Raw genomic sequence first — 13,341 nt, 5'->3', positions numbered from 1 at the left:
AAGGGAGAGTGCTGAGGTGGGAGTGGGTCAGCACAGTATTAAATACTAGAAGAGATGGCGGTAGATGAGAACGGGCTATTGAGTGTAATGTTTAAGAAGAAATTGTTTCAAGAGAGTAGTTTCAGTAGTTCAGTTGCATTAAAATGGTAAGAGCTGAAGGAAGGAGGGTTTGGTGAGGAAGTGGAGGCTGTAGGTGTACACACACCACCACTGGAGAACAGGCTGTGTTTCTCAGTGGTGCTAGCAGAGGCCTCCTCTGGCAAATGCATGACTTGAGAAGGCAGCCCAGGTTCCTTGTGAAGAGTCTAGAGGGGTGTGGTAGGGGTCACCAGAGGCTACGTCTGGAGAGGCAGGCTCATCCTGATCATGTTTCCTGGCCAGTAGCCATCTGAGCATTGTCCTGGTTATTACCTGCACTGCTGAGATACTTCACCCCACCTAATACTCCAAACTGAACAGTGGTGGGTATCAGGAAGCCATCATGAATCTCAATATCTGATTCTTGCTTGTGAAATAACTTAAGATATGTTGTTTTAATTTCCTTATTTACCTCTCTAAATCACAGAATCTGAACCCTGTGAGTTCAGACCGTAGAGTACCTTCAGATTCTAAATCATAGAGTCTGAAGATCATTTATATAGAATAACTGGCCTTATGCCTGAGAAATAAAAAGTTTGCTTCTTATTCTGTTTCTGTGCTTGAATTTGGGACTTAAACTACAGTTGTTGATTACTAACTGAAGTCTGCTAAATCCTTGGCTTAGGCAGCATAATAACACAACTAATCATAGCCAATAATAATAAATATTATTAAGCAATAATGAGACAAAAACTACTGTGGTTGTCTCATTCAATAATACTGGCTCCAGGGCATTTACAGTATAACATTTTGTATGTTTGCTTCAAATTTATGATTTTGGGTTAGATGAGACTGTAGGATAGAAACTTTAATTACAAGTTGGGTTTTTTGTTCATGTGCTGTGGAATAAGGGATGGAAACCTCAGAGATCTTCAGAAGAGTTTCTGGGGTCTCTGGAGGGCAGAATAGTTATACTGGATCTTTTTTTTTTCTTTTTGAGACGGAGTCTCGCTCTGTCGCCCAGGCTGGGGTGCAGTGGCGCCATCTCCGCTCACTGCAAGCTCCGCCTGCCGGGTTCACGCCATTCTCCTGCCTCAGCCTCCCGAGTAGCTGGGACTACAGGCGCCCGCCACCACGCCCAGCTAATTGTTTGTGTTTTTTAGTAGAGACGGGGTTTCACCATGTTAGCCAGGATGGTCTTGATCTCCTGACCCCGGGATCCACCCACCTTGGCCTCCCAAAATGCTGGGATTACAGGCGTGAGTCACCGTCACCCGGCCCTGGATCTTTTAGCTATAAAAAAAGTCATTGGAAACTTTGATTTTCTGCCTCTTCTCCTCTTTTAATGTCGTTTCTTCACAGTAGTTTAAATGATGGCTAATTGTGCTGCAGCATTTGGTAAATGTCATATATCTACTTTTCTAAAAGCAGTGAAGTAGTGTAAACATGTGGCATCTTTTTTCAAAAGATCTATCCAGTAATTATCCTGAAGGCTATTACAGTATGCAAATAGCAAGGGGCGTCCTTGTCTCCTAAATTAGAATATCAATATTGATTCAACATGTTCAAAAAGAAAACAATATTTCTAACAAATGTTAATCCTGCTTCAGGATAGTGGAAAAGACACTGGTTGCCAAGCTTTGATAGGATTTGAGTTCTGGGTCCCCCATTGACTGATCTGCCTGTCATTTGAACTACCGCCCCTGGTTTCATTTTTCTCATCTACAAAATGGGCATGCTGATGTCTGTTCTGCCTGATACACATATCCCTTGGAGGATTGAATGTGATAATGACTTGGTATATCATAACATGCCATACAAGTGTAGATTATTATTATTTCAGGAGAAACTTTGTCATCTCTGAATTTTTAATTATTACTAATTTGAAATGTTCTGAGCACCCGATTTGTTCTGGCTTCCACATAGAATTTAAATTGGCCTCAGATAAGGATGTGCCGTGCTTCCCCTCTTTCATATTAGGGAAGTTGAGGCATGTAGATGTGAAATTGACTGCTTTTTGTTTTCCATTGAAATCATTTCTCCTTGCATACTATTAATGAGCTTACTATACTTGGTATCAATTAAATTCACATTGCCTGAAATTACTGCATGAAGCTACAAAAAATAATTTCTTCTGACAATGAAATGATACAGTCTTACAGGTACTTTTAGTTTTAATGTAAACATGACTGCCTCTGATCCATTTAATACTCCCATCTTGGTGTGCTTGTATGTATTTGGAATCCCTTGACTTTAGACTTGAACAAGGTTGTCAGCGACTGTGCGGAAGTAAGTGTTTTTGCCATCACACCAGGTGGATGACCCCTCCAGCTGTTGTTTCAGTGGGTGGTAAGAAACAGAAGACAAGCCCCTAGTCTTCATTATTCTTAGGTGTGAAAAATTCTCCCAATTGTGTTTTCCATAGGTTCCCAATATACCAATTACTTCCTAATGTCATGCAGACACCTATATTCTCAGAAATGCCAAAGAAAGGCTGCTCTGCAATCTCTCAGAATTATTTTCCCAGCTGAATTTGTCAGTCCAAATTTAAAAGAGCAACAGGCAATTAAATATTCATTTTTAATTTTTTTGTCACTCACTGCTGCAGGTCACAGGTTTTATAAGATTTCTCTGACTGTGTAGTACTGTATACTAAACCCTGTTTTGATAGTATTAATTAATATTCTCTTGCAGGCCCAAGTGAGGGTGAGAGAGAGATTTGGCTGGGCATTTTGGTACAGCAATGCTAATTTATAGGCCTGGGCAGTGGAATATTATGGAAGTGTGTAATGATAATATCAAAACTGCATTTAATTCTTGAAGAGGAAGGAAGGCTAGCACATGAGAGACAGAATCTGCTGTTCTCTTTGTAAGTGAAAGGTCATGCTACTGAGCGCTGCGGGGTGGATTGGTGAGAAATGAGCTCCCGTTTGCTAGGAATTAGAATGAGTCTATCTGATTTTCCTTCACTTGTGACCTTTAAAGATGCAGCTTTTAGATTGATAAGCAGGTGGATGCTTTTAGTAACCCAATGCAGAATTTGTTTCATATAAAAAGACTATCTTTCAGACACTGAAGATATTGCTTCCACAAAGGGTTTTTTTCTACAAAGCCTCTGGAGAAAGAAATTCAGTGATTATATCTTATCTGTCACACAAAGAGAAAATTCAGAATTACTGTATGTTCAATTAGAACATTTTTTTTTCCCTCAAAGCATTAATCATTTCCTGGAACACACATCCTCCAGTTAAGAATCTCTAGGAAGGCTTGACAGTGGGCACTCCTCGTTGCTCTCGCCTCTGGATTTCCTGCGCCACTCCACAGAGCCTCCTCCATGCCCATAAAAGAGCTTCCTATGTTGCTATAGTAATCCTTTCATGTTGGGCACTACGCTATCTTGAAGGCAATCAGATGGGAACAAGGAGTGGGGAGCAGTATAGAGTTAATGTCAGGCAGCTGAAGGTGATCTGCGCTATTCTATTTGGAGATGTTTTGGTATGCTGAAGACGGGATGCCAGTCAATGCAAGCCCTTAGCCCACTGTGGGCCCAATTTGATGTTTAGATATTTAAATATAGAGTTTTTTATGACACTTGTGAACTCTAAACAAGCCTTTGGATTTAAACAAGTTGAAATAGCTTACTTTCCATAGCCAACAAGCTCAAATTTCTCTTCCTCTCCACTTGTTTTCTGTTCGTAATTACATCATCCATCTTATTTGTTCTAATTTCCTCCTTTTATTTTCCTTATCTCCCCAGCCATCAACAGCTCAAGCCCATCAGTGTGTGTTTTATTTTGTCAAATGCTGGTGTTTTATTGGGGCTTCTGTGCTGTTTCTGTTTCTCATTTGATATTCCTACCTGATAATAAATTCTTCATAAAGCACCCCTGATCAAATACATCAGGGCTTCATTCTTTTCCTGTGTACAGGTTTTAATTTCCTACTCAAAATCACAAATGAGGTTTAAAAAAATGCATTTCTCCCGCACAGTATGCCTGACTTTTTAAATGTTTAGGGAAAGCAGAGGAGTGAGCTGAGTGACTTCCATCCAGCAGACTTCCTGCCACTGTCTATGGCAAGAGTCATCAGCTCTGTTTTCCTCTCTAATTTAAAAATACCCTGCTTTTAAAAAAAACTAACCCAGTAGCGTGTTGTATAGACCACGTAGATGAACATTCCCCTCAGAAGTGTCTCAACACTGCAGAGCCACTGTGTATAGAAAATGCCAGCTTATCTGCAGGCAGAACCACCAGGCCTCTGCAGACACTGCTCTCACCTTTCTGCCCTTCCCTCCATCTGTTTACATGTGCATGCATAATTCCACATTCACTGAAGTCCTCCCAGGCACTGTTCTAGGATCTGAGCACGACGCTGTGGCGCTCGTGGAATCTACATTCAAATCAATTTTGACCTATCTGAAAGAGAGGATACCTTTGTAGGAGGCTCTAGACCCACACTGTGTGTCACAGAAAGCACTTAGCCCTTATGGCTATTGAATTTAAGTTAAGCAAAATTCAATACAATTAAAAATTCAGGGCCGGGCGCGGTGGTTCACGCCTGTAATCCCAGCACTTTGGGAGGCCGAGGCGGGCGGATCACGAGGTCAGGAGATCAAGACCATCCTGGCTAATGCAGTGAAAACCCCTCTCTACTAAAAATACAAAAAATTAGCTGGGCGTGATGGTGGGTGCCTATAGTCCCAGCTACTCGGGAAGCTGAGGCAGGAGAATGGCGTGAACCCTGGAGACAGAGCTTGCAGTGAGCGGAGATCGCGCCACTGCACTCCAGCCTGGGCGACAGAGCGAGACTCTGTCTCAAAAAAAAAAAAAAAAAAAAGAAAAAAAAAGAAAATTCAGTTCCTTAGTCGCTGTAGCCACACTTCAAGTGCTCCCATATGTTGAGTGACTACCATATTGGACAGTGCAGATACAGAACATTTTCATTGTACCAGAAAGGTATACTAAACAGTGTCAGTGTAGATCGTCCACCATTCTTAAAGGTAGACAATTATTACAGAGGAAAATCTGTAAATAAATAACTTGATTTATTTATTTTTTTATTTTTTGAGATGGAATCTCACTCTGTCGCCCAGGCTGGAGTGCAGTGGTGCAATCTCTGCTCACTGCAACCTCCACCCTGCGGGTTCAAACAATTCTCCTGCCTCAGCCTCCCTAGTAGCTGGGATTACAGGCGCCCACCACCACACCCGGCTAATTTTTGTATTTTTAGTAGAGACAGGTTTTCACCATGTTGGCCAGGCTGGTTTCAAACTCCTGACCTTAAGTGATCTGCCCGCCTCGGCCTCTCAGAGTGCTGGGATTATAGGCGTGAGCCACCGAGCCTGGCAATAACTCTTATTTTTCATCTCCAGAAACGTTTAAGCTTTTCTGGCTTCTTCAGTTCTTCCTGAGAACAGTCAGCTAAGCAAAATCAACATGTTCCTTATCCTAACCTGGGGGTAGTGTGAGGTTTACAGGAACAGGAGGGAGGAGGGCAGCTGAAATTGAGGCTCCCTCTGAGCTACCTGAGTCATCTGCCTCCAGTGGAGAAGGTCAAGATGGGAAGGTTAAAGAGGAAGGTCAAGGTGGGAAAGCTGAGTACCAATCCACTTTTTCATTCATTGTTTCCAGAAACTTTTTTTAGGCATTGAGAGGCAATTGCAGTGAAGTAAATACAATATTTTTATCTGTAGTGGAAGGAAACAAGGGTCAAACAGTGACAGGGCAGCATGATAAGTGCCATGATATAGGAATGCCTGAGAGACTGTGGGAACTTGGAAGACATTGTACCTGACTGCCCTGTGAAGTGGGGACAAGGGAGAGAAATAGGAAGAGGTACATCAGAGAAGGACCACAAGTTGTGTGGGCAGTGTAGTTTTAGTTTGCTTGTCTTTGATGTAACCCTCTTTAGCATAAACTGATTTGAAAGCCAAGTTATATAGAAACAGGGGTTGGTGATTTTTTTTTTTCTTAATCATAAATGTGATGCTGTATTTTTTTAAATCCCGAAGGTGATTGTTGATTTCATAAAATAAGCACTCATAAAATTCTGCAAGTAACAAAACCCTGTCGTTCCTTTGAAATGTTTGCTGTAAAATGTAATTTTTTCTCCTGGACTTCTGGAAGAAAAGTATTTCATTTGGAGCTATGTGTGAGGTCCTGCTAGAATTCTAGATGACCCATTCTCTCCCCAACATCATCTCTTACTCCTGATCATGCTGGCTTCCTTGCTGTTTCTGGAACACACCAAGGCCATTCTCCCTGTAGGGCCCTTGTTTTATTGCTCCATTTGCCTAGAATGAAACACACTTCCTCACAGATATTCACTTGGCTGTCTCCTTCACATGCTCCAGATTCTGATGGAATTTCTTCACACAGAATGTCATTTCATCACAAGGCCTTGCTGACCACCCTATATGAAATATCAGCCTCCCCACACACTGCCCCAACTCTCCTAAAGTTTTCAAAGCACTGATCATCACCTGACATAATGATGTTATTGTCTATTTATGGCCTGACTCCCATCTTTAGGATATATGCTCCCTGAAGACAAGGACTTGGATGTATATACCGTCATATGCCCAACACCTAGAAGAGTCCCTGGCATGTAGTACGTCTCAGTAAATAGATACTGAGCGAATCATTTCTATCTTGATTTATGTTATGGATCCCAAAAAAATGGTTAGGTTAACCTTTCTGATGATCCATTTCACTATTCCTTTTGTAAAGATAATTGAGACTTGGTGTTTTGTGGCAATTCGTAACTCAGTAATTCTCAGTAACCTAATCTCAGAGGCCACTCTCATCTTCACCACACCAAAGAACTGTTAAGCAAAACTGATGCTCTGTTGCTGTTTGTCAGCTGCCTGGTTGTCTCCAGTGTGGTAGTGTTCAAATACAATTCACTGTGTTTGAACGCTTCTTCTGGCAGATGACTAGAGTGCGCTGGAGAAGCAGCAGAGTGTGCCTGTGAGGCCAGGAGCGTGGAGCTCTCAAAGGACCATCTTGTTTTTCTGGTTTTAAACCAGGTAATCTGGGCTTGCCTTTTTTCCTGCCTCCGTCCCCTCACCCTCTGTCCCTTTCTTCGTTTCTTTCTTCCGTCCATCATACCTTTCAATAGAATAACAGCAACTAATAATGAAATCATCCCCATGGAGGCAGGTGTTAGAGTTCCATCCCCATCAACCTGGTTTTCAGTGCTGTAGAATATCAGTGTATAAACTTCAGAAGAAAAACTTCAGTGCAAGATATACAAGCTCCTTTTCTTGCATAGCATGTCATTCTTAATTGAGAGAATGCAATGTGTTCCTGCTTTTCTTTGGATGCTTGGCCCTAAATCTAAACAGAAAAGAAAGGAAAGGCAGTGTTTCAAACAGGCAATAGTTGGGAGAAGGGGTCGGGAGAAACTACTTCTCTTTTATTGATTTTGTGAAATTGTTTGAAGAATGATTCAGCATTTTGGGATATAAAAATAACAGCTTCGAGTAGCTTTTCAATTAGGCGAATGTACTTTTGCTGAAAGGTTCTGTTGTTCTTGAAATGCACTTTCCTTCTGTTCTTTTGGAGCCTCTTTAATCAGTAGTGATGTGACAGGAGGTGCGGCAACCTCCCCAACACCCCTGCTTCTTCCTTTCCCTCTCTCTTTTGTGAGGCTGAGTTGCCAGGAAAACTGATTGGCAAAATTGTTCCTTAACTGGGGGGAGAGGTAGTTCTGTAAAGACAGGCCCTATGCAGAACATAACAAATTGAACTACCAGAATGTATGTTTTACCCCAGTTGGGTTCTGTTTCAACTAGAAATCCTAAGCAGCCATGGACTGCGTTTGAAGCAGGCACTTATTGTAAATTAAAATATTACTGAGGTTTCCATTTTTAAAAATAGTATTACTTTGAGCAGGGTCATGAGAATTTTTGTTTCATTATTGTGTCCACTGTCAGGTCACTGCATTTAAACTCCTTTGAAAATGCATATAGTAATCAGTTTTGTATATAAGCTGAATGCCCTGAGCCTTAACAGAATGGCTAATAGGTGTTTCCTGGCCTAAACAAAATGAAATTTCCTTTGGTTCTCTTTGTGTATTTGTTCTGGAGTGTGAGTGTGGGTGTGAGTGTGTGAGTGTTGATGTGGGGGAGAAAAGATTATACTGTAGTATTATATTAGCCCTTGTTGAATAAATTTATGATAATGGGTGCTACAGATTTGCTGCGGTTGCAAAGTAAACTTCAGTGTGCATATAACGAGTAGCAATTTCGTTTGCTAATTTAAAAAGATTATATAAAAACATTTTTAAAATTTAATTTTATTTACACATATCTAAACTACCACCTCTTTTAGAAGAACTGAAGAACTAAGAGCTGATTATGTCTCTTGTTACTTATGCTTTTACGATTGACAGGTGTCTGTGGCCTTTGAGTATATCATGGTGCTTTCTGCTAAATTATTTCATTTTCCCCTCAAAACAACCATGTCTATGATAATTTTATGGATGAAAAATATTGAGGCTCAGAAAAGTAAAGTAACATCACTCTGTAAAAGCTGATATTGAGTGCCAAGGTTTCAGGCTCTTGGCGGGGCACCGGGGATTCATGCTAAGATTCAAGCTCTGCCCCACAGGACCCACATGATGAGAGAGCTACAGTGGCTCAGAGGGAGGGGTTCACCGAGAGCTCAGAAGCTCCAGGTGTAACCCCAGCTGCCTGTGTGCTCTTAGACACATTAATTTCTCTTCTACCTCATCTATCAAACTTAGGCTACTGAATACCCTCTTTGTATTTGTTTTCAGATTAAATGAAATATATGAAAACACATAGCAGTCACTCAGTGAGTGTTAAATTTTTCTTTATATTTCTAGCCCATGTCTTTTCTTCTTTCCTTATACCAACTTGCATCATAGACACCACACTTGTAAAACTCTTTCAACGATTCCAGACTTCACTCCTTACTAGCCAGGTGACCTTGAACAAGTTATTCAACTCTCTGTGCCTCAGCTTCCTCACTTAAAATGGGGATAAGACTACTACTTCATTGGGATTTTATTGAGGGTAAATGAACTAATGTATCTAAAGTACTTAGAACAATTTGTAGCACAGAGTAGGTACACAACGAAGTTTACATATTATGAGCTATATTAGTTTTTCTCCTTTAGATTATAAATTGTGTTCACAATTGTTTTCAGTGTGAATGTGTCTATTAAAACGTTTTAGTAAGTTCTAAGTGTTCGATCTGATTTTAAGCCTGAAAGGTAAAGTCATACTCTCCTGAGTCCTTCGACTGTATAAATCAGGGGGTTGGCAATTTGGTTTCTGATTCCTTGGCATTGACTGATCAACATTTGGTTCATTGGTGAGCATTTAAGAACCACCAGTGAGAGCATAAGAAATTAGCAATCCTTCATACTGTCAGGCAGCATTGAGATTGAGCTGTCAGAGGCTGAGGGTGAATGCTTCGTTGGATTGACTCACTGAACCAGCTGTATTTCTTTGTCTTCCATGGCATTCTTGGATAGAGTCCATTTAACTAGGAAGTAAAGACTTTGGTCAGTTCATTTAATAAGAACGAACTTAGAAAATCCTGCATTAACCACTTAGACGTATTGAAAATAGGAGAACATTAGTTATTTAACTAAACTCCTTTAAAAATCAAAAATATTAGGGCATGAAATAATACATAATACCTTTGACTTTAATGCACACCCTACATTGTAACTTTAAAGCATTAGAAAATGTTTGTATTCTTTCTTTTTTAAAAAAAATTAATCAGAGTGACTGGGGTGGTTGTAGTGGTGAAGAAAAAATAGAAAAGGAGGAACTAGACATTTGGAATTGTGCTTGGTTACAGTATGTAAACTTTCATGAATGTGCTTTATTCCTTTTTGAAAACTATCTTCCTCTTACGTTTTTCCTTTCTGTTTTTTTTTTTTAGACAAACCTTGTCTGACTGACTATAACCTTTAAATAATTGGTAAAGTAGAGCAGTGAAACTGACATGAAAATCTATTGAAAAGAAATGGAAGCCGGGAGCATTATTCTAGTAAAGGACTGGCTAGCCTATTGTTCCCTTCTCTTGTGCTGTGTGTGGGAATTATTTCTGCTGGCAACAGACAACATCGACAGTAGTAGTATTAAAATAATTCACATCTATTTTTGTTAGTAATAATGTAATACTGGATCATCTCTAGGCCACAAAATAATTGACCCATTTCTAGGAGCAGAAAGTCTTCAAACTACAAGTGCTTCTCTTGTCTGCCCACGTCTGCTTTCTCTGCCTCCTCACCATACACACACACACACACACACACACACACACACACACACACAGAGAGAGAGAGAGAGAGAGAGAGAGAGTGTCTGGGCTTGTAGATCTTCACCCTGGTTCTCACAGGCCCCCCTGCCTGGAACGCCACTTTCAGCCTCAATAATTTTACCATTTTTCAGGAGCAAGTCTAGGACCCGATCCCTTAAAGCTTTTCTTCACTTGTCCATTGCATTCAGTCCTATTCAAGAGACATTTGAGCACTGGAGATACCACGCTGAACAAGGTGGGCAAGCCTCTGTACTGAGACCTCACAGTGTAGTGGGGACTTGTAAGCAAGGCCAGGCCTTTACAGCAGCATGGTAGACACTACGACAGGTGGCACAGGGCCCTGTGGGAGCCTTGCCCAGACCTTGCCTAGTCTTCTGCACCGATCCCACTTTGCCCTGAATGTCTGGCGTGGCTTTAGTAGCTTCCAGGGAAGTTGGCATTTAATTTTTTGCTGCCTTGCATTGTTTTCTTTCTGTCTGTTATCTCCCTGGCTGGATGGTAACTACTTTGAGGATAATGGACTTCATTTTATTTTTATGCTGCCTTTTTAAACCCTATAGGGTCTTAAACAGCACTCAGTGGATGGTAAATACTCAGTAAACACTCACTGATTTGCTTAGACCCTCTTCCCTTCCCTCCACCTCTGTGGCTTTACACAGGGATGACTTCCCCTCACTGCGTTCCTTCCAATACCTTCTATAATTTGAAAATGGCTGGCCTCTGAACCTTGTTTGCTTAGGGGCAGTGAACTCCAGCTGATTATAGTCATTGTCTTCTGGCCCTGGGTTCTTGGGCAGCAACATGACTTCCTTCTACCAACCTATCCTTTCTTCCTCAGCTCCCATCGATTTAATTATACTTCAGGCTCTCCAGGCACAGATCTACCATCACCTCTTTTTGCGTAGCCTCTAAAATGCTTTCCTCTTTCAGGGACTGTTTTCCTAATGAGGGCAGAATATAATTTAGAGGCTTAATTTTAGAAAACTATATGAAGCAGCAGACCCATAAAATGTTATGATTCACAACCACTTGTTTTGTTCTCATAATGCAACCTAAACTAAAAAGCCATTCATCAAAGCTATAAAAGCTGTTCATGGCTGTCTTTAGTATATCGTGTGGAGCATAATTCAGCCCACAGAGAGGCTAAAGATGGATTCATGGGGCCATTTGCCTTGGTGTACGTTAAAGGCCAGTAATTTCTATGCTCTGTAGAATACTGTATTTTACTATAAACCCTGGATTTTTTCTTAACCCCACTTAGCTTTCGTTTCCATTTTAATATAAGCATGTCCCCATTTATAACCTCTTCCATCCCCTGTAAATAATTGCCAAGATCCTGACTGTTCCCTAATTCATAGTCCTTCTTGTCTCAGCTACTTTGACCATTTAAGGCGATTGGTGTATGAAGATGTGTTGACCAGAAACCCAAAATGCAGCCTCCATGGAGAGCTGCCTTGGTCATCTGTCTCCTCTAACAACACCCTAGGAGAACCATTGGTCCTCCCATCACAGCTCCCCAGAGAGCAAATTGCCAACACTTTCCTAGAAATGAATGAGGGAACAAAGCTGTGGGCATTCTGGGCTATGTTTTTATAGTGTTGTGATAAGAATGCACTGGTGATTGTGAACCCAAGTTGCTAACTATAGTGTCGTCAGAACTTAAGATGCCTCTTATATTGTGTTCATATTTAAATAATGAGGTCTGACCTTTACATTTACTCATAATCATGTATCTAGGTCATCACGTCACATTTTCAAAAGTACAAGATAATATCCTGGAAGCTAAAGGTTCCAGCCATAGGGTAGATGCAGCTGGGTTTGAATCCTGGCTTGGGTACCAGTTTGGCTGTGCTTCCTTAAGCATGTTACATAACCACTCATTTTCTTCATCTGCAAAATAAGATTACTCACTGAACCTATCCCATAGGATTACTGTGACGATAGCAAAAAGATAATCCATATAAGACATCACCATAGTACTTGGTTCATGGTAATCAGCATTACTTATTCAGTAATTCTTCTTTTTATTAAGAGTCTACCAAAAAAAATAATAAAGCAAGGAACTGGAAGGATCTTATTAAATCTAGACAAACATTTTCAATAAAACTCTAAGATGGATGGCTTGTGTGTCTTTGATACATGTTTTACTTTGTAGAGCTAGTTTAAATTGTGTTGTAAACAGAAGGACACCTAACAAAAAATGAACCAGTTATTTATTTAACCTCATGATTAAATGTCAGTGACATGGTGTTCTTTTTTTTTTCAGTTAGCCATTAAATATAGTATTATGATTTTAAACTTACCTTTTGCACATCAGTTGTTTAGCTGAAAAGTACATTCTTTTTATTTATTAGGAACTAAGCTTTTTTTCATTGAAAACTGCTGTAGTTATAGACAGCTCATGTATTTCCACTTAAGGTGTACCTTGTACTGCATATTTGCCCTGGATCTGAAGATCCATCTTTTTTTTAGCAGACTCATTTTAAACTCTCATAGAACTAAATGATTTCCTTGAAGAACAAGTTTCATTATTTGGCAGATGAAACTGGAGGTGGCCATTCAGAATCTTAAGCTGGATCACACGATTTTTAAAAGCTCAACAACTTTGAAATAAATTCATGCAAAATTTATAATAGAAAAATGGTTAAAAAAATTGAGAATTGTTTTGAAAGTGGCTTTGCCCCCGTTTTAAAAATCTATTTTTCTGCAAGATGTAAAAATAGCATTTATCTTAGTGTTCTCTTTAAGCTCAAGTCTTGAGGGGGACAGTTCCCTAAAATTAAACTCTTTTGGCTGAATTAATACTCCCATGATTTATTATTTTTATTGGGAGTTCCTGGGCATTCCCTGTGCTACAAAAGAGCCTGCCTCCTACGCTCTGGATAAGTTTGTTAGGTCTGTTCAGAATAGCTTGACACAACTATGGTCAGGCATCTTCCAGGACCCATAGCTTTAGGAATGC

The 13,341-nt window shown here is 40.3% G+C and overlaps 1 protein-coding gene across 7 annotated transcripts in view, besides 1 other annotated feature; it reads left to right on the top strand.

Annotated features, from left to right (window-relative positions):
- Window positions 1–13,341, top strand: part of CADM1 (cell adhesion molecule 1) — a 335,180-nt gene that overhangs the window by 209,908 nt on the left and 111,931 nt on the right. Inside the window, exon 1 of one of the 7 annotated variants that reach the window (XM_047426695.1) lies at window positions 7,004–7,105. The exons of the other annotated variants lie outside the window; for them this stretch is intronic. The gene's annotated coding sequence lies outside the window, so the exon portion shown is untranslated. Of the gene's footprint in view, window positions 1–7,003; window positions 7,106–13,341 lie in introns of those variants that run through there. 7 annotated transcript variants of the gene reach the window in all.
- Window positions 9,385–9,679: a silencer, noted in NCBI's record as "tiled region #15022; HepG2 Repressive non-DNase unmatched - State 23:Low, and K562 Repressive non-DNase unmatched - State 24:Quies". NCBI's record gives its function as "represses a minimal TATA promoter and a strong SV40 promoter by Sharpr-MPRA in HepG2 and K562 cells {active_cell/tissue: HepG2 | K562}" and the evidence as "EXISTENCE:reporter gene assay evidence [ECO:0000049][PMID:27701403]".

Source organism: Homo sapiens, chromosome 11 (genome assembly GCF_000001405.40).
Source record: "Homo sapiens chromosome 11, GRCh38.p14 Primary Assembly".
NCBI lineage: Eukaryota > Metazoa > Chordata > Mammalia > Primates > Hominidae > Homo > Homo sapiens.
This window is presented reverse-complemented; position numbering and strand designations above follow the sequence as displayed.